Genomic DNA, 21,738 nt, shown 5'->3' on the forward strand with positions numbered 1-21,738 from the left:
TCCTTGTTCCAAAGACTAGAGATTTTCCCCCTCTGGGTTTGGTGCTGGAATAGCTGAACCAAGTCATGTTCATTCCAAGGCATCTTCACTCATTCATTCAGAAGGTCAGGTCAAAACGTGTGGTTACCTTGAATAGGCTAATAGTTTAGAATCTCTTACACCAATATTCTTTTAGTATTTGTTCAACATTTGTTTAGCAGGGGTGAGAAAAGCTGATTTTATAGTATAAAAGATGAATTACGTATTTGTTTATAACTCACATGTCAGCTATCCTCTCATCCTGTAAGTATTTTCAAAGCAAAACTCCACTTGTGTAAGTGAGCAATGTAATTTACTGACACATTTGAAATGGTGATATAGAAAGGTATTTATATTGAACAACAGACAGTATTTTACTTGAAAAATACCTCCTAGATTTGTCTCTCCTATCAAATGGCTCTTCTTGGCCTTGCAGCTACCAAACATTTCCTGTCTCTATGTTTCTCTCTCTCCTCTTTCTTTTCACTTCCCACCCACTGTCCGCCCCACTGCTGTAGTTACTACCCATTTGAATGTTTTCCATCAACTACTGATGAATATTTATTTTCTTTAATTATTTGTGAAGTCCTATTACTGAAGATGAAGGTTTTGATTCGGCACCTATACATTAGCTAACGTGTTTCAGAATGCTCATAGCAATACTTCTCATAAAAGCATAAAACTGGACACAAACCAAAGGCCCATCGACAGGATAAATTATGGTGCATTCACTCTGCAGAGAATTATACAATAGTGAAAATGAATGACTTCAGTCAAAGGCAACAATGTGGATGAATCAGAGGTGATATGATGCTGAAAGGCAAAAGTAAGTCTTGGAAGACCATATACAGCATAATACTCTATGAATAAAGAACAAACACTACAAAAACTGAGCTTTATGAAGGCATATATAGAGAGCAGTGATAAACCTTTTACACAGGAAAGGAATAATAAAGACAAACTTCAGGTTAATGGTTGCAGAATGTGAAGGAGACAGCAGTAAAGAATGGGAGAAGAACACACAGGTCAAATTATTATTGTCAGTGTTCTCATCTTTGGGTTGTGAGAGGGTTCCGAGGTATTGATTATGTAATAATACATCAAATAAAAGAGGGCCATATTTGAGCCAGTGATAAATCAGAGAGTATAGTTAACCCAATTCTGGGCATCTAAGAAGTATTTTTTAAAAGGTTCTTTTTGTGCTTCATAAAACTTCTAATAAGAAGAATTCATTCTTCTTTGAAGGCAGAAGGTGGTTAGAAATAACAATTTGTTGTTGTTGTTTTGTGTTTTGTTGTTGTTGTTGTTTGTTTGTTTGTTTGTTTTGAGATAGGGTCTCAATCTGTCCCCCAGGCTGGAGTGCATTGGCACGATCTCAGCTCACTGCAAATTCCACCTCCTGGGTTCAAGCAATCCGCCCACCTCAGCCTCCTGAGTAGCTGGGATTACAGGGGCTCGCCACTACACCCTGCTACTTTTTGTATCTGTTGTAGAGAGGAGGTCTTGCCATGTTGCCCAGGCTGGTCTTGAACTCCTGAGCTCAAGCAATCTGCTCTTTTTGGCCTCCCAAAGTGCTGGAATTATAAGCATGAGCTACCACACCCAGCCACAAATCTTTATTTTCTATCAAATGTTCAAATTCTATATGATAAATATTAAAGTTACCAAATGAAAACATCTACTGACATTTTGCCAGTGACATGAGTTATCTGTAAAAAACCTAAGTTAACTGGCACTATATTCTTAATTTAGGTTAGCCTCCTGGGCAACTAATCCCCCTCCACTGAACCAGACTGCGTTTCTTTATTCACACATTCCTTCCTTTATTTACTCAATTGGCAGACATTTACAGATTATCTATGTACCTGGACTTGTGTTAGGTTCTAAGGCTATAAAGATGATTAAGAAAGAAGCTCTAGGCCGGGCATGGTGGCTCACGCCTGTAATCCCAGCACATTGGGAGGCTGAGGTGGGTGGATCAGGAGTTCGAGACCAGCCTGGCCAATATGGTGAAACCCCGTCTCTACTAAAAATACAAAAATTAGCCAGGCGTGGTGGCAGGTGCCTGTAGTGCCAGCTACTCAGGAGGCTGAGGCAAGAGAATCGCTTGAACCTGGGAGATGGAGGTTGCAGTGAGCCGAGATCACGCCACTGCACGCCAGCCTGGGCAACGGAGCAAGACTTCATCTCAAAAAAGAAGAAGAAAAAAAGAAAGAAAGAAAGAACCTCTATCCTCAGGAGTTGATGGTACAGCTGGAGAAACACACATGGAAACCGAAAGTGGTAGTTTGGCAAACTTGAGAGCTATGAACAAAGAGCTATGGGAGCCCAGAAGAAGGCTAGCAGAAGAGAGGGAAGGAGGGAGAACCTTGGTTGAATACCGCATATGATGCAGATCTGCTAGAAGTTCTACATGTCTTAACAGGGGTTTGACCCTCACAACAACCCTATGAAGGAGGTACCATTGTCTCTGTTTTCCTGATGGGGAAACTGAAGTTTAACTATGAAGTGGCTGACACTGATGAGATGGGGGCATTTCATGGAAGTCTTAACAGATGCCGACTTTCTCAGGTGCAGTGGTGGGATGGGCAGACCAGGCAGATGAAACAGGTATGGAGGTGTAGAACCACAAAGGAGTTTGTTAACATCAAAGGAAAAACATACAAAGAAGTTCTAGACATTTACAGATGTATAACCACTGAAGCCTATTTTCAAGACATCCTTGCTCCCCAGAACTCAAAAGTCTTTTCCAAAGATGAACTCCCCAATATCCCATGTGTAGGACACTAACATATGCTCTAGGTAGAAAAGAAGGCACCTCCAGGGAAAAAAAAATGTGTTTAAGATAAACCTGCTCCTTTGCCCTCACCTTTTTATTATTTATATTCACTCACTCATCTTCTTATCTTTGAGAGTCTTCCACGTATTAGTGGAATTAGTGGGTCTTTGGTGAAACCAGCGAGGATGACTGGGAAGCAGAGGAAAAGTGGCAGACTCTTGGTGAGCACGAGGCCTCATGGTGAGCACAGACCAGCAACCCCAGGGTAAAGACGGGCCTACAGATCCTGTACCATCCTCCTCTCTGCCGTCTTTTCCATACCTACTCTCAACCCACACAGATACAGTCATCAAGACAACCTGCCTCCCCAAAGTCTCATATGCCCCCAGAAAAGCCTGACTCTGACACCGTCTCTCAGTGTAACTGAGAAGGGAGGTTCCTCATCCCATAGTCACCCAGACCTCCTCCATCACAGACTCAAGACCCCAGGGCAAACTTTGAAGTTGTTCAAAGTTAGGATGAAGGATCTTCTCAGATAGGTCACCTTTATCTAGAATCTTCAGTGGAAGGGCCTCTTGGGATAGAAGACCATGGGTTCTGGAAACAGAATAAGCAGAGTTAGACCCTGCTGGCACTCTATGGGCACCAGGGAATAAAACCCCCAAATGCTTGTAGGAGAAAGGGAGAGAAGAGAATCATGTGTAAGAAGCTAAGGAAAACTTCCTGCTAACAGACACATGGCGGTAAACAGCAGACACTGTTAGCTAATACCCCCCTCCTCCTTTCTCTTCCAGAACTCTCCTGAAAGATCTCCTGGGTTGTGCAGAATGTGGATAGTGATAGTTTCTTGCTCCAATTTACTCCTCGCACAATCTCTTCTCCTATCTGTAGGCAAGGCTAATTCTTGAGTGGCTTTGATTGAAAACCAACTGTGATGATTTTAAAAAACCACAAATCAGGCCTGACAAGGATTGCACATTAAGAAAATATTTGAATATCTTCCAATGAGACCCACAAAGCCTCTCCATCGTGTCATTTGTACTTAATGGGTGCTGCCCCAGACTTCAAATATTTCAATATGCCTTTCAAGTCAGTTTCCTGTCTGCCTACTCCCCGTGTTGAACCACCCCTGTTGATATGGTTTGACTGTGTCCCCACTCAAATCTCATCTTAAGGTGTGGCTTTCATAATTCCCATGTGTTGTGGGAGGGACCCAGTGGGAAATAACTGAATCATGGGGCAGCTTCCCCCATACTGTTCTCATAGTGATTAAGTCTCATGAAATCTGATGGTTTTATAAAGGGCTCCCGCTTTCACTTGGCTCTCATTCTCTCTCTTACCTGCTGCCATGTAAGACGTGCCTTTCGCCTTCTGCTGTGATTGTGAGGCTTCCCCAGCCATATGGAACTGTGAGTCCATTAAACCCCCTTTTCTTTATAATTTCCCCAGTCTCAGGTATGTCTTTATCACCAGTGTGAAAACAGACTAACACACCTGTTACCATACATACATTGTTACCACCATGGCTGATTCCCCAAACAGTACCCACTCTCTCCATCCTCATGTTCTAGTTGAAGGTACAGGAACATATAAACAGGGATTACAGCAAAACAGTAACAGTAACACAAGCCTATATGATGAAGCATGAATGTCCAAAGAGTATTGCAGATAGAAAGTGCTTAAGAAAAAAGGAGGGAGGGAGGAAAGGAGGGGGGCAAGGGCTGGAAAACTTTCTGTCAGGTACTATGTTCACTATCCGGGTGACAGGATCCATAGAAGCCCAAACCTCAGCACCACACGATATACTCTTATAACACACCTGCACATGTATCCCCTGAATCTAAAATAAAAATGGAAATTTTTTAAAAAAGAGAGATAGCACTGGAGGAATCTAGAGGGGACAGAGAACTTCAATCAGAGGCAAGCAGACCAGGAGCAGCATTAGAGGTAGAGGTGAGTAGCTAGAATTGTGAGGCACAAGGCAGGTCTGCCCAGGGGAAAGTGAATTTCTCTGTCCAAACTATCCGAAAGAGAAAGCCTCAAGGCAGCAGTGTGCTGGTAAATGTTTAACAACCGGCTCTGATTTGTAGACTTTGACAATTTCCATCATATAAATACTCCCTCCATGGCCAGTTTCAACCTACCAACATGATATCAGTGCACAAAACTGGCTCTCCTGAATAGGTACAAATTGGCTCAAGCAGATCATGGGGACAAAACTATCTGCCTGAGACCTATTACATAGGTTTAGCCCAGTTTCATTAACCCCCAAACAGTACTTCTTGGGATGGAGATGGGCTGACAGAGAATAAATCAGCTGTATCAACACCCGATGTGCTGATTCCCTAAGCAGAGTAGTAGGAAAGTTGGCCAATTTTTCTGTATGACAATTCCCTGAATATTGTTTGCAGTTCTCTAGCCCACCTCTAGTCTTCATATTGCCTTCTGTGAAGGAAAAGGCAGCCTAGCAACCTCCGCTGAGTCTTCTGGGCTAAAGAGACTGCATCAGCCCGGCCTATGCTGCTGACACCCTTGCTGATCCTCCTCATAGCACCTCCCCTGTTTCTCAAGTTAACCACTTAGCACTGTGAATAGACAGTTGGTATATGACCATCTGTGCTTCCAGGCAAGTCTTTAGATTTCTATTCACAGTGCTACATGGTGATATTGAGCCTACGGCCTGGAAGCCTATACTAACAGAACACCTAGAAGCAAAAATACCTTGAGACTCCCTGAATGCAAATAAAGCTTCCTTTGTGCTGCACTGATAAACTGGAAACACCAGAGAAGCAACAATTAGGGCTCCTGCACAGACCTCTCATAGAAAGTTTGGCTTTCCCTGGTGGCCCTTCAAACATTACCCCACTTCTTTTGTAGCCACTGTATGGAAAGGACACTACTATATATGTCAGGCCGTAGCAACATATCAGGACCTACATCAGCTGCCAGAGCAAGTGGGTGGTGGGAAGTGATTGAGTAGGGGTGGAAGAGGGCGGTGGGGCAGTGTCTAGACTACAAGTCCTGTTTAAGGGGTTTTTCTTCCATCCTATGTGTCTTAGGGGCAGTGCAACTTCAGGTGTAGAGGAATAAAAGCAAGCATTTTCCATGTTTCCCCACACCCTCTCTTCCAGGTGGAGATCTGCATACATTTCTCAGAGAACAAGATAAGCCAAAAATAAGAAGTAAAGAGCCAAAAATATGCCCTGAAAAAATAATGTAAATAAATGTAGGGGTTTTTTTTTTCCTTTTTCATCCAGATCCTGCTCTCAATTATTTTTTAATACCTTAGTTATGGACAGTTGGAATGAAACATTCTAGGTAGCTGTTCTGAGACACAGTAAATAAGCCCATTTATTATTTCTTGGAGTGGTCTGAACTATGCAATCATTCTTTCTCTTGGCCCCTACCCTTTGCTTTCCAAGTGAATTGAGTTGAATTCATTATGAGACATTTTATTGTATCATGCTCCTCCTTGCTAAATACCTGACTGATTTCATTGTTTTCTCAGGCCATGAACCTAAAAACCTAACTGGCAGAAGGAAGTGTGTTCTTTTCCAGTGCACATCCATCCCACAGGAGGGGTTTCCGAGTGTATGCTACTGTTCCAAATGCCTGGCTATTGATCCTGATATTGCACAATTTTTCAATAAAGATCTTAATCACACAGACATAAATTGGCAGACATACTGCGAGAGAGATGCAGATGGCTTCTCTGACTAGAAATGCCTGCAGGCAATCGCATACCACGTCAGGGAGCTTATCATTCCTTAAATATTTATGTTTGTTTCCTCCATTATGAAATTACCACATCCCTCTCAAGAATCCTACCAAATATGTCTACTGTCCGAGGGGATTTCTTTTTCTTTTACTGTGGCTTTCCAGATAGTAAGTACATAACTTTAAAACTCACTGAAGGTCTGGGGACTCTCTGGTTGCAGGAGAGGGGTGTGAATGCACCGATTTTTCTAACATTTCTCTTTTTCCTAACTGCACAGAGACGTCACTCCACATATGCTCATTCTTCCAGGAAGCACAGCTCAGAACAGTAGTGAACCTAAAGTCTAGCAAATCTTGGACTCATCATTTATAACTCTTTTCCTTCTGTTACTTGCCATGAAATCTTAAGATTATACAATCAGATACATTTTTGTGAAGTGACCTTTTTAATATACTTAGCTCCACTTTTGCTATCAGCAAAACGGGGACAAACAAATCTGCCGCCACCTCAATGAAGAAAGAATGAATAGCTTGGCTCCCCTGGGGAAGGTGGCATTCTACAGAGCACAAGATAAGTCCTGGCAGAGATGGAAGAAAGGGTCCTTCTCACTCCCAGGTAATTTACAACCATGGACCCCAAGATGGGCCAACATCTGTCACAAAAGCCCAGAGATAGCTCCATTTACTTATGTTCCAGCATAAGACCTCATCTTCCTTTTCTTATCTCCCAAGCTGCTTAGCACATTTTTATGTCCAATAACATTTAGTTAGTGGTTGACTAACTAAATGAAAGATGAACAGTCAGCTTGATTAGTGTCTTATCATTGTCTAACATATGTACAAAATTTAGTCTTTCAAAAACTAAAATGAAAAGATTGATAGCTCTTGCTTTGAATTATGAAATATCCAAAGAACTCACTGAAAAGTGTCTTAACTCATTTTGTTATCACATCTCAGTTTTGTCCCATTCAGCAACTTTCTAGGATACAAATTGAAGAGGCTAGAGTCTTATGAATATCCCCTGAAGCCAAATAGATTATTTCATCCCATATTTTACTTTTCGGAATTTTTTTGGCAGTCTTCTATTTGACACATGTCAAAACATCACTAGTATGTGTTAATATAATTTGTTAATTTGTAGAGAGGATGCTGTGAATTCTAGGCTGAATTCAATGGTCAGAGAATGTCTCACCTGGATAAAGATCAATCAGGGTGTCTTTCAGTGTGTGCCCTAGCATATCTCTACCTGGCTTCTCTGCAATGTTACTTGCATAGTTAACTTAAATTGTATAACTATGACTAGTGTATATACTATAACTACATATAGCATAAATTATGTCATTCTGCCTATAAAATTTTCATCAACTAAATGAACTGTTAGATTTAGAGGAAAGAGATCAGAGCTAATTAGTTTCTTATTTATTTTTGTTATACACAAATAAGTCCTTAATAAGTATCTCTCAGTGATAACCAAGACAGTGGTGGCAAAGATATAAGCACCTGGTGGAGCCGAAAACCCTGAGCATCATTGTGTCAGATTTCCTGTCCTGCCACTTTCAGGCTGAAAATTACTCTTTGATCATTTTGCTAATGCTTAAAATATATCCTTGATTCTTTGTTTAGAAATTTTTTTGCAGGTACATAGTAAGTGTATATATTTATGGGGTACATAAATATTTTGATACAGGCATACAATGCATAATCATCACACTAGGATAAATATGGTATCCATCACCTCAAGCATTTATCCTTTCTTTGTGTTATGATCCATTTGTACTCTTAGTTATTTTTAAATGTACAATAAAGTGTTGACTATATTTACCCCATTGTGCTGTCAAATACTAGATCTTAATTCTATCTAACCATACTTTTATACCCATTAACCAGTCCCACTCTCCCTACCTCATCCCAGCCTCCAGTAACCATCATTCTACCATCTCGATGAGTTCAATCGTTTTAATTTTGATCCCACAAATAAATGAGAACATGCAAAGTTTGTATTGCCGTGCCTGGGTTATTTCACCTAACATAATGACCTCCAGTTCTATCCATGTTGTTGCAAATGACAAGATCTCATTCCTTTTTATGGCTGAATAGTACTCCATTATATATGTGTACCACCTTTACTTTATCCATTCTTCTGTCGATGGACACTTAGGATGTTTCCAAATCTTGGCCATTGTGAATAGTATTGCAATAAATATGAAAGTACAGACATTTTTTCAATATACTGATTTCCTTTCTTTTGGGTATATACCTAGCAGTAGGACTGCCGGATTATATGATTGTTCTATTTTCAGATTTTGGGGAACCTCTAAACTGTTTTGCATGGTGGTTGTACTAATTTACATTCCCACCAAGATTATATGAAGGTTCCCTTTTCTCCACATCCTTGCCAGCATTTGTTATTGCCCATCCTTTGGATGAAAGTCATAACTGGGGTGAGATGATATCTCATTGTAGTTTTGATTTGTATTTATCTGATGATCAGTGATGTTGAGCACCTTTTCACGTACCAGTTGGCCATTTGTATGTCTTTTGGGAAATGTCTATTCAGATCATTTGCCCACTTTTTAGTCAGATTAGATTTTTTTTCTGTTGAGTTGTTTGAGCTCCTTACATATTATGATGATTAATCCCTTGTCTGATAAAAAGTTTGCAAATATGTTTCCCCATTATGTGGGTTGTCTCTTCACTTTGTTGATTGTTTCCTTTGCTGTGTGGAAGCTTTTTAACTTGCAATCCCATTTTTCCAGTTTTGCTTGGTTGCCTGTGCTTATGGGGTATTATTCAATAAATCTTTGCCTAGTCCAGTGTCCTGCAGTGTTTCCCCAATGTTTCCCCAATGATTCATAGTTTGGTGCCTTAGATTTAAGTCTTCAGTTCATTTTGATTTGATTTCTGTATATGACAGATATAGAAGTCTAGCTGCATTCTTCTGCATATGGATATCCAGTTTTCCCAGCACCGTTGATGGAAGAGACTGTCCTTTCCCCAATGTATGTTCTTGGCATGTTTGTCAAAAATGAGTTCAGTGTAGATATATGGATTTATTTCTGGGTTCTCTATTCAGTTCCAATGGTTTATGTGTCTGTTTTTATGACAGTACCACACTGTTTTGGTTACTATAGCTCTGTAGTATAATTTGAAGTCAGATAACAGGATTCCTCCAGTTTTGTTCTTTTTGCTCAGGATAGCTTTGGCTATTCTGGGTCTTCTGTGGTTTCATAAAAATTTTAGATTTTGTTTTCTATTTCTGTGAAGAATGTCATTGATATTTTGATAGGGACTGCATTGGATCTGTTGTCCTTGATTCTTTACAGCCAAAATATTTTATTAACATAAGTTTGAAAACATAAGTTTTCTTAAATAACTCTATAATTAATTCTGAATCTTTTCAATGTTAAAAAGAAGGTTACCCACTAAAGAAATCACACAAACTATTTGTCACACAAAACTATTTTGGGTTCTCTTCTCTAAGAATTTTGGAGACATCTCCTCAGCAAAGTAAAGTTTCTTAATGACCGGAGAGCAACCTGGCCAGGACACCAACTGCATTCTTGCCCACAACTTTAATGGGATACCCTGAACTCTATTAACTGTTATCAAATCACTGTTCTCAAAATGGAGAGGTCTCACCACTGAAAGTCTAAGATTAAAGCAAAGCATCCCTCCATTTCTCAAAGTCTGTAACCACTACTCTGGTATTATCCTACCCACTCATGCTTTTCTTTGGTCCTTAAGATTTTTTAAAAACTTCTCTATTTCTAGAAACCTTTGAACTAGATGGAATCAGTTTATTTGAATATCCTTATTGGGTAGGGGCACAAACTGCACAAATATTAAATTAACATCTGATAGAATCTCTCATGACTTTGTCCAAATCTAGTCATAGTTCTGGGGACTATGACCACAGCAAATCTCAGGCTTTCTCAAGGTCCCAGATCCTCAAAGACTTCTGCTGGGCTGGACTAGCCAATACCAACAAGAAGGACAGTGATAATAGTAATGGTAGAAGTAGCAGTAACAGTCATAACAGCTATTAACAGAAATCAGGGCACAAAACGAGTAGCCCTACGATGAGGAGCCATAATTCCAAACTTCACAGACAACAGTGGGGCTGATGCTGATATTTATAACCCAATTAGTCCACAGTCCAGCTTAACTTCAGTAAATGTATCTTCTGTGCAATACGTATTTTTAAACATTGACATTCTCCCTCACTTTTTTATACCTTTGGGCTTTCAACTGACAGTAAACATTTCAAAATACTACATAGTGCTACAGCAACCCATCAATGGTTTACTTTCAGCACCATTACCATCTTTGTCTGTACAACATTAATTTGAGTAGTTTATTGCATTATAATCCTATTGTTTAAGAAGAAAATGAAAACAAAGGGCAGGTGCCAGTGATGCAAAACACAGATTTCATAAACTTATTCTAATTGAGTTCAAGACAGAAATCATCATAGGTATCAAAAAATAAACTCACAAACTTCACTAACAGACTCCTGAGCACTTGGGAAAAATTGGTGCATTCTAGCCAGAGTGTCACACTTGTCCAAGGCTGCTGGTTCAGACCTGGTAAACCACAGCCAATCACACTCAAGACAATCAGACTCTCCATCTCAGCCAGGCATGGTGGCTCACACCTGTAATCCCAGCACTTTGGGAGGCTAAGACAGGCAAATCCCGATATCAGGAGTTCGAGACCAGCCTGACCAACATGGTGAAACCCTGTCTCTATTAATAATATAAAAATTAGCCAGGTGTGGTGGCACGCACCCGTAGTCCCAGCTACTCAGGAGCCTGAGGCAGGAGAATTGCTTGAACCCAGGAGGCGGAGGTTGCAGTGAGCTGAGATCGCACCACTGCACTCCAGCCTGGATGACAGAGTGAGACTCCATCTCAAAAAAAAAAAGATTCTCCATCTCACCCACATGAAGCCTTTCTGAAGCCTCAACCCCAGAAGCTAGAGGTTACGGCCAAGGGCTTCTAAGAAAGAAAAATCTTGGCGCTTGTCTGGCTAGGTAAATAGCCAGACAAGGGCCAAGATTTTTTTTGAGCCAACATTTTCTGGATTGTTCCCATTTACAATCCAAGTTAACCATGGGCTGGCCATGCCTCCCCTTGGTGCTCTGCAGACACATGCTTTTTGCACTCTTTGGAAGCAAGCCCATGATAAATAAACCATAACACAATAAATTAAATTTCTATCATGGCATCCATCTCCTAGTATGAAAAGAAGCTCCTGATCTTATTCTTTCAAGGTTTATATTTCAAGGCAAAATTTTGGCATAATTTAGAAAGTTTTCTTTTCTATTGAGTCAGTTTGCTATTTTTGAAATATTGTACAAATAACTCACATACACTGCATGGGGGGGGGGTAAATCATCTATCTTTTAATGAAAAGCATAAGTTATCTTTAAAAGGAGTCATTTATTTCTTAACATCCCCAAGGCAAAAACCTCCTAAGATGAAGTTAGGACTCTTCCTGTCTCTGCCTTATTTGACACCATATCTATAAATCAATTTCTCTAAATCCAGTGATTTTCAACATATTATTTTGGAAGTTTGTTCTCTTCACGTCCTAAAGAAGAAAGGCATTTGGAAATGTGTATTCACTCCTTCAAGTATTCATTCACTGAACATTCATTAAGTGAGCAGGATTTCTAGAGCACTGTGCTAGGTATCAGCACAAAACAATAGGGATGAATAAAAAGATAAGAAAGGACCCCTTCACATCATGAGTTTAGAAGCTTATAGCACATGAACCAAGCACTGAATACCAGGAGCAACTAGAAGAAGCCAGTATGGCTCCTGAGTCTGGTTGCATACAGAGGTTGCTTGAGAAACTGATTAAAAACAAGATTCTTAGGTTCCACCTACAAGACCCAGATCTAGTGAATCAGAGAGGCCTAGAAGAATCTGAAAATTTTATTTCTATACTGGCCCAGGTAATTCTGAGATTCAGCTCGGTATGGGAATCACTGAGTCTTAAATAACATTCTAGAAGCTAAAAAATCCCACACAGCCCCTACCATGACCACCAAAAGCATTTTCATTCATGCTCATGATCCAGATCAAGGTCATTGAGATCCTCATTTGTGAAGCCGCAAAACTAGACTACAAAAAAAAAAAAAAAAAAAAAAAAGGTCTGACTTGCCCAAAGAGAACTCCAGGAAGAGATGTATCTTTGACTACAAAGCCAACGGTTTCTAGCTGTCATTGTGCCACTGGAAAGTAAAAAACCTATTTTAGCAGTATGCAAGACTATCTACACAGAATCACAGCTCCTCGGAGCCAGTAGAACTTCATACGTAGATCAGAGTTCACAAACTCAAATGGTGACAGGTCTCAGCCAGTAACAAAAATGACTGAAGCAGGCTGAAGGGAAGGGGGGTAAAGGGAAAGGATATGCCCCAACAAAGAGGGCACCTGCTACTCCACTCTGGCAGTCACTTACAATGAAATAATGTGGGCCCAACATGCTAGGAATTCCAAATTTTTAAGAGAAAACAGAAATCAGATTTGAAAAACTATTGATGCAAGTAAAACAGACTTTTCAGACAGATTTGTCCTGTGGACCACCAGTTTGTAATTCCTGATGTAGACCAAAGTCTTCATTTGACAAGTGAAAAAATAACCTTGTCCTATTCCTTGTGTCTTTCCGATTTGGCCTGCCGCAGTAAGGAAGGAGACTTGATGAATTAAGTTTTGCTTTTTATCTTGGCTTTGAATTTTTCAATGTTATTTATTGGTCTTGAGGTTCAAATGTGAGTTTGCTAAAAGTCACACACAGTAGATACTATGCTGCACTGCCCAGATTCCTGTTACCCCAACCGGCAGGCCTCAGCTCTAAGCCCTCTCCTGAAATTGCATCTAGCTGCTTCACTCTAGGGTGGGTCCCCTTCCTGGGGCATCTGGCACGCAATGACTAGAGGGTGCTCCTGTCTAAAGGCCAGCCCCCTTGCCCTAACTCAGTATGATTCTGCAGGGCCTTCCCAGCTTCAGAGCTCCCTCTGGAGCCAGCTGAAGTCTTGTAGCTGCATCACAGCAAGGCTTCTCTCCATGCCCAATCCTGCTTCCTTTACAAGCATAGATCCCTCCCCAATATACTTCCTGCACATATTTGGTCTTTGAATCCTGCTTCTGAGGGAACCTGGCCTGCAACATGGTGCACATGAGTATCTCATTGAAAATAACCTCATCTGTGAAAGCCCAGATTTGCAAAGTCAAACAATTTTTTGTTTTCACAAAAATTACTTCTGTTGTTTCTTTCACTATTGTTTCACTGGTGTTTGAAAAATGATACAATAGCAGATGCCTCCTATTTCACATCTCTTACTCACCTCTGCTTTTAGCCACTGTGTTGAGCAGTTCCAGGAGCCCAGATCTCCTGGCACCACAATGTCCCTCCCACCTTAGCTGTGAGCCAAGTTTCTTTCTGCCCTCAGATGTGAGGCCTTTTCTGATGCTGCAAGGGCCCACTGGGCCTTTGAAAACAGAGCCTGGAAAGTTGAGGGTGTTCACGCCAATGAAGGCTGTGACCCAGTAGATTAGTATTCCAGCCTCCTGTCCTTTAGCCAAGTCCCCATGGCAAGGAACTCCCTTTACCCACTCCCAGTGCCTTATATACACCCTGACATTGACTTCCCTTTTCGATGTCTCCATCCATCTCTTTGCTTCCTCACTTCTCTTCCTGGTATCACATCCCAAATCAACCACGCCAAGTTCCTGTCTATGAGGCTCTGCTTAAGGTGGGACCAAAACTAAGACACATGTGTCCTCAATTTTTAATAACTCAAAACAAGACAGAAAAGTATAAAAAATAAAGTAAAAGTCTGCTTTTCAAACATCCCCCTCCAGTCATCTTTCTATGCATTAATGCCCACTTAAACGTAACTTTAAATAAATGGGATCAACCGAGATACTCTGTTCAGTAAACCTGCAGGTTCCCTCAAACACTGGTCTTACTGGCTACACTTAAAATTCAAATTAACTTCTACAAATTGTTTCATCCATTCATTTAACAAACGTTTATTTCAGGTCCTCTATGTGTAAGGCACAGTGCTAAGTACTGTAGATGTTATAAAGACATGTCCCATGCCCTTAGGATATTCATATTCATTTTCCAATTCAAGTTTCAGGAGCATACTGATAAACAAATTAAAGCACACCTATTTTCAAAACCACATTAGGACTCTTTGAAATCTAATGCCATAGATTTTAATTAAACATTTTTTACCCAGGTAGCATGTACCGGTGAATGGATTCCTGGGTTCAAATCTTGGCTCTGCGACTAAGCAGAAGTGTGATGTTAAGCCTCATTTTTCTTGTTTGTAAAATAAGAGTAACAATTATGATTGTAAATAGTTGTTATGAGGCTAAAATGCCAACCAATGTAAAGAACTCGGCATAGCATCTGACACAGAGTAAGCACTGAATACATTTCAGCTATAATAATAGTTACCATTTTCATCTAACATTAACTTCAGGTCCACTATCTGCATGGATCCAGGCACCATGGGAACTGGGCAGACAAATTGGAACTCAAAATACAGACACTGTCCAGTGAGGTTTCTCTCAGCACAGTTTTAACAGCTTGAAGCCCTGTTCCAGCAACTGAGGACCCAAGGCACAAAGAAAGCATCATGTTCACCTGGTCACTCACCATAACTACAGGGAGATTGGGCTCATTAGCAATCTGGTGCCATGGCCAGCTGAAGCACACGTGGTGATTTTGCCACAAGTAGAGTTAACTCCAGGCTCCTATCTTGAATACAGCATTTACTAGTCCTGCTGGTAAAACAGCAGGGAAAACACAAACAAGAAAGATGCAGAAGGGATGTAAATACCAGATTTGCTTATCTGTCTGAGCAAATATCCTGCTGGCAAGGAGATTCGCGTTATGATTCAACTTCTCAAGAAGTTATCAAGTCAGGCAGTTGCTCCCCAAGACACACTGTCCCTTCAATATGAGTGGCATGTTCAGAAGGATTTGCTGTCTTCTACCTTTTGTAGTCCTCATAGCATTCTGTATAGCCCTATTCCTCCTAGATGCTCAATAAATACTTGTTCACAGACTCATTGAATGCTTATAGAGCTCTTTGAATATTGTCCTAGCAAGGAAAGAGCATAAGAAGTGTAGAGAACTTTTTAGGCAGTGCACCACTTTTGAAATCTGACTTTCTGAAGTCTTTCTGCTTATGCTTTGTAAAATGGTTTAAAGAGAGAGAGAGAAAGAGAATGCTGATAAAAATGAAATCAGCCTCATGATGCAGTCATGTGTGTCTGGATGGGAGGGGAACAACGGTGGCTGCAAGAGAAAAATGCCTGCTACTCCATGCACAAAACATTACAAAAAGAAGGAAGGAAGGAAGGGAGAGAGGGAGGGAGGGAAGGAGGGGAGGGGAGAAAGGAAAGAAAAAGGAAAGGAGAGGAGGAAGGAAAGGAAGAAGGAAAGAGAAGGGAAGGGAAAAGAAAAGAAAGAAAATCTCCATTGGAAAACATCCTAAGGTGGTGACAAGAACAGGTGGGAGATGATATTGTTTTATAGCCAAGGACAGCAAGCCACTGCCTGAAGATATATTTTGTTTGAACTCTTCACTTGTAAGACTGCTAGATAGATTTTGTCTGAACTCTTCATTTGCAAGACAACAAAAGATACTGTGCTACAATTAAATTAGAAACACTGGAAACACCAAATCCAAATTCTACAAGGTAACAATTGGCTGCAGCTTCCTCGTCCTTAGCAGCTGACTCACTTTCCACTTCCCCCTAGTCCCCACCTCTCTCTACCTACCACTGAAGTCATGTGTCCATCACCATTTACCGCTATTATCATTTTTCTTACAAAGTTAGGAGGAACATCAAAACTTTGGACTCATGGCTCTGTCAAAAATGCACAAATGAAAGAGACTAAAAGGATTGTATGTTTTTAAAAATGTTTTTTACCCATAGCTTACTTTACTCATTTATGGTACATTCTGGACCTTGGAGGCATTTTAACTTGTGCCCTGTGTTAGTTTCCTATTGTTGCTGTAACAATTTACTAGAAACTTCAAGGCTTAAAAACAACATGAATTTATTATCTCACAGTTGTGGAAGTCAGAACTCCACAATGGCTTTCGCTGGGCTAAAAGGAAGGGACCACTAGGGCCACACTGCTCCTGGAGGCACTAGGAGAGAAGCCCCAATCCTTGCTGTTTCCAGCCCTAGAGGCTGCCACATTCCCAGGTTCATTCCAGTCTGCAATGGCATCACCCCAACTTCCACTTCCAGTCACCATGCTGCCCTCTCTGACTCTCACTTTCCTGCCTCCCTCTTTCCCTGGTAAGGACCCAGTGATTCCATGGGGCCCAACTAGCTAATCCAGGATTCTCTCCCATCTCAAGATGCTTAATTCAAACACATCTACAAAGTTCTTTTTGCTAAGCATATACGGTAACATATTCCCAGGTTCCAGGGACTAGGACATGGAAACCTTGTCGGGAGGAGGCATTATCATGCCTACCAAGTGACCCTGTTATGGAGGCCAGGGATTAGTATGCTATTGCTTTCAAAGGAATTTCTAACAAGAAAAGGATAGAAGGAGAACCAAATATTTCAAAACCTTTGAAAATAATCCAGTTCAAATTCCATTTCTCAAGTTTTTTAAACCTAAAATGAGGGCAATACAGAAACTGAATGGTGGGGTGGTCATATGCCAGCATTTAAACCCCTTTCCAAGTATGGAAAATTCCCACCTTAGGAGTTTTGGTGGGAATGAGGACAGCTTTTCCTCACTGGGAACAAATATACTAGGTACGAGTTGAGTAGTGTATCTGAAATGCTTGGGACCAGAAGTGTTTCAGATTTTGGACTTCTTTTTGGAATTTTGGAATATTTGCACCAAGTTTACTACCCCTAATTTAAAAATTCAAAATTCAAAATGCTGAAAAATTCTAAAATTTTGGAGTGTTGACATAAAGCTCAAAGGAAACACTCATTAGAGCATTTTGGATTTTGAATATTCGAGTTAGGGATACTCCATCTGTACTGAGTTTCCCATCTTCCCCTGTGGCTGCGGCCAGGCCTGGGATATGGCTGCACCCGTCAGTACTCACAGACAGGTGAGCATTAAACAAGATAACACATGAAGCACTTAGCCCAGGGCTTAGTCCATAGGGTAGCTCGGTAAGTAGCAGCTATTATTAATTTTAAAATCACAAGGTTAAAACATTGGCAGAGAACATGAATTGCTCCCCAGTATTCATTTTCCCCTATTTCCTTGGTAATAGAATCGCCAGTTTGTAGCTGGGCACATGGCCACATAGACTAAAGCATATCCCAGCCTCTTGAGAAGCTCGGTGTTTCTGTGTAACTAGGTTCTGGCCAAAGGAGTAAAAGTAGAAGTAGCCACTTCTAGAAAGTGGCCTGAAAGGGAGAGGGCATGTACAAATTTGCCTGTCATGCTAAATGGAATGCAAACACGATGGCTGAAGCTTTAGCAAGTTGATTAAACTATGAGGTGGAACCCATGACATGAGTGGAATGGAGTGGCAAGAGGGAAGAAATCTCTGAGAATCGTGGAGGGCTCTCACAAACCCTGGGTTGATTACCTTCTGGACTCTTACTTCAGAGACAACTTCCATGTTGTTTAAGCCTGTGTTATTTTGGAGTTCCATCACTCACCACTGAATCTAATCCTAACTGATGCAGAAGATAACTTCTAGTTTACCATTCGATACGGGAATCCCCTCTACAACATCTGTGACATCCCTAATGCTAAGTCATCTAACTTTTGTTCCAAGATTTCCAGTTACGAAGTCTTCACTACATCACAGGCAGCCCATTCTTATTTTTTAAAGTTGCCTTTGTATTATGCAGTTAATATGTGAATCTATTGCTAGAAAGTATGTTAAAAGTACAGAATAACACATTTTCAAGCATGAAGGCCCCCATCGTCTCCACCCACTCCCATGGATTTTCTTCCCCAGAACTAACCATGGTCAACAGTCCAGCATGTGTCTTTCTAGTCTCCTCCCAATGCCATTACATACATACAAGTAGTGTAATAGTAATGGAGATACAGAGAAGGGACCAGGTGAAAGAATCCACTGCACTCAATAACTGATTAGATAAGGGAGTGGTAGAATGGAAAAGACCAAGTCAAAAAGAAAATGTAGGGGTCAAGCCTGGGTGAAATTTGATAACAGTGCCATGGACAGTAAGTAAAAGGGAGCACAGTAGGAAGAAGAAGGAAAAAAGGAGAAAGGATGATAAGTCTAGTTCTGAACAGTCATCTCCAAAAGTGGGCTGCAGACCCAGGCAGACATCTAGAGAGGCTGGAAACGTTAGGCTGGAGCTGAGAGTGAGGAATGCCGCCTTGTGCAAACGAGCCAACCGCTGGAGCACACAGGAGCATATGGAAGCACCTGGGGGAGTGGGGAGATGAGAAGAGAGGAGAGCCAGAGGCAGATCTTTGGGGGGAAACCTGCCTTTTGAGGTAAGAGAAAAGGAAACAGAACAAAAAGCAGATAAATAATTGGGAAGGTAAGGGGAGATTTCCTTAAAGTGAGAATGGATTACTTTTTATTAAGCTTAAAATAATGAAGTAAAAGATTAAGAGAGAAAGAAGAGTTTAAGTGAATGAGGCAACTCAGCAGTCTGTAGCTAAATAAGGATGAGGTCACTGGTAAATTTTGAGGGTAGCCGTTTCTCCAAGCAGTGAGGGCAGACACAAGATTACACAAATTGGAGGAGCAGGTGGGGTGAGGGGGAGTGAAGCAGCAAGGCATGTCCCGCTTATTGTCAGGACAGGCCAAACTATGTGGCAATCCCAGAATAAATCCTCAAATCTCAGTGGTTTCACATGATAAAGGCTTACCTTTTGTTCACGTAAAGTCTGATGCAGGTCAAATAGCTTCCTCCATCTTGTAGCTGTACCTTTGGGGGCACATGGCAGAGGAAGCAAGAACAAGGGAAGTAAGACATTGGTTCTTTATTGCCCCAGTGTGGAAGCCACACATATCACCCCTGCTCATGGTTCATCTGCTAGAATGAGTTCCACGGCCTCACCCAAACAATACACCACATAGAACATCTGGTGAACACAGACTGCTGCAGACACCTTGTTCAAGAGATCAGGAAGTTAATAAATGGGGAAAGTAACCAAGAGGAGGGAGCCTGTGTTCATGCAAGGGACAGAGACTGCCGCATATTGAGGGGAGGGAGGACAAAGGTAGAGAGGATTAAAGTTATCGAGGCCTGGAGGAATCCTGAGTCTATCCCCTGATATCATAGTTGGCCCTCTCATCCTTACATCATCTGCCCTTGAGAAGCAACCTGCCTACGATCACCTCACAACCCCTGATAGAAATGTTGCCCACAGCCTTTTTCTACATGTTTTCAAGCACACAAATCAACACCAGAAACCACTCATCCAATAAAGGCTATTGGAATGGATTCAAGACCTTCCTGCAAGGTGAGATAACCATGCCTTACACTCACAGTTTCCTGAAGGCTTTAAAATACATGACTTCGGTTGATCGTTATTATAATGGTATGAGACACATGTGGCCTGTAGAATTATTACTACTATCATATCACCATTCTTATTTTACAGATGAGAAAGCTAAGGTGTAGAGAAAGCAAATGACTTACCCAAGGCCATGTGCTGAAGCTGGAATTTGGTTCTCATACACCCTCTCCTCTGTGAGCAAAATGCTGTCTGATTTGTTCTGTGCTTTTGAGGGCAGATTTAAAATGGTTGATACACCCTGCAGAAAGTGGGCAATGAATAGCTTTGTTATACTTTGTTTATAACAATTACATGAAGGAAACTGTTTCAACAACTTCTACTCCAATTTTGGACTCTAGCTAAGTTTGTATTATATATTTAGTCCCACTTCTATTTGCAAGCAGACTTAAATTGGCATAAGAGGCTGGGAGCGGTGGCTCATGCCTATAATCCCAGCACTTTGGGAGGCTCAGGCAGGTGAATCACCTAAGGTCAGGAGTTCAAGACCAGTCTGGCCAACGTGGTGAAACCCCATCTCTACTAAAAATACAAAAATTAGCCAGGCGTGGTGGTGGGTGCCTGTAATTCCAACTACTTGGGAGGCTGAGGCAGGAGAATCATTTGAACCCGGGAGGCGGTGGTTGCAGTGAGCCAAGATCACGCCACTGTACTCCAGCCTGGGTGACAGAGCCAGACTCCATCTCACCAAAAAAAAAAAAAAAAAAAAAAAAAAAAAAAAAAAAAGGCATAAGAAGTGAATGGCACCGTAGCCCAGCTCCATTCCACATGCACCCTTCTACAGAGGCATTTTGCTAGTGACCCAAGGTCAAACTGGTTGGGCATGATGAGCTGATGGTGTGTGCTGTGCCTGGGCCAGTCCTTTCTCTGTACATCTGTGATGTTTTCTTTTCACTAGGAGTCTCAAAAATGCTACAACATGAAGGAAATGGTGCAGTCACCTCTCACTGGGTGCTAATATGTTCCTGGTGCTTTGTACACACTGTCCCCCTGGGACCTCACAGAAGGCTTGCAAAGTAGTTACTCTCAGTTTACAAAGTTCAGAGAATTTAGGTGAATTATCCAACACTCTGCAGCTACATATAGCATGCCTGGATTCAAAGCTAAGCCCATCTCTCATCAAGGCTGGTGCACTTTCGACTAGCTCACTGAAACTCCTGGCTGAGGAACATGATGGGGAAAATGAAAATAAATAAAAAATAACTGTCTTAGAGCATTGCACGAAATCAACTTTCTAATAGAGTCTATTTTCTCAAGGAAAGTATACAGGGAGGAAGAGGTGGATGGGTAGATGGATGGATGGAGATAGAGAGAGAGAGAGAGAAAGAGAGAGAGAGAGAGATGGATGCTGTAGATACTCTCCGGCACATCTTATACCTGCTTTAAATATCTGAAGCTACGTTGTCCTATGTTTTCAGAGCCATTGATCAATGCCAGGATGAGCCCAGGACAGGGCCCTGGGAAATGGCAGCCAAGAAGTGAGAGAAAAGCAAGAGAGAGGTGCCCCAAGCACCAAGAGCAGAGAGGAGATCCTATTGCTTTCCCTACCAACATCCCCAGTCTATTTAACAGATTGCTTTTAGATTTTTATTTTCTTGTAGTGATTTAAACACTTTAAATATTTGTATTTGGAGATAAAGGAAGAATTCCAAAGGTTTTGCATAAAATAACCATCATGAACCTGTTTTTCATTTTTTCTA

At 41.2% G+C, this 21,738-nt stretch overlaps 1 long non-coding RNA gene across 1 annotated transcript in view; it reads right to left on the minus strand.

The window, feature by feature from the left end:
• The window catches only part of LOC102724945 (uncharacterized), a 244,858-nt gene that overhangs the window by 147,995 nt on the left and 75,125 nt on the right, over window positions 1–21,738 (minus strand). The window contains exons 3-4 of the long non-coding RNA XR_001750942.2: window positions 20,164–20,279; window positions 19,388–19,446 (exon numbers count right to left, since the gene is read on the minus strand). This is a non-coding gene — a long non-coding RNA (uncharacterized LOC102724945). The remainder of the gene's footprint in view (window positions 1–19,387; window positions 19,447–20,163; window positions 20,280–21,738) is intronic.

The sequence above is a fragment of the Homo sapiens genome, chromosome 14 (assembly GCF_000001405.40).
Source record: "Homo sapiens chromosome 14, GRCh38.p14 Primary Assembly".
NCBI lineage: Eukaryota > Metazoa > Chordata > Mammalia > Primates > Hominidae > Homo > Homo sapiens.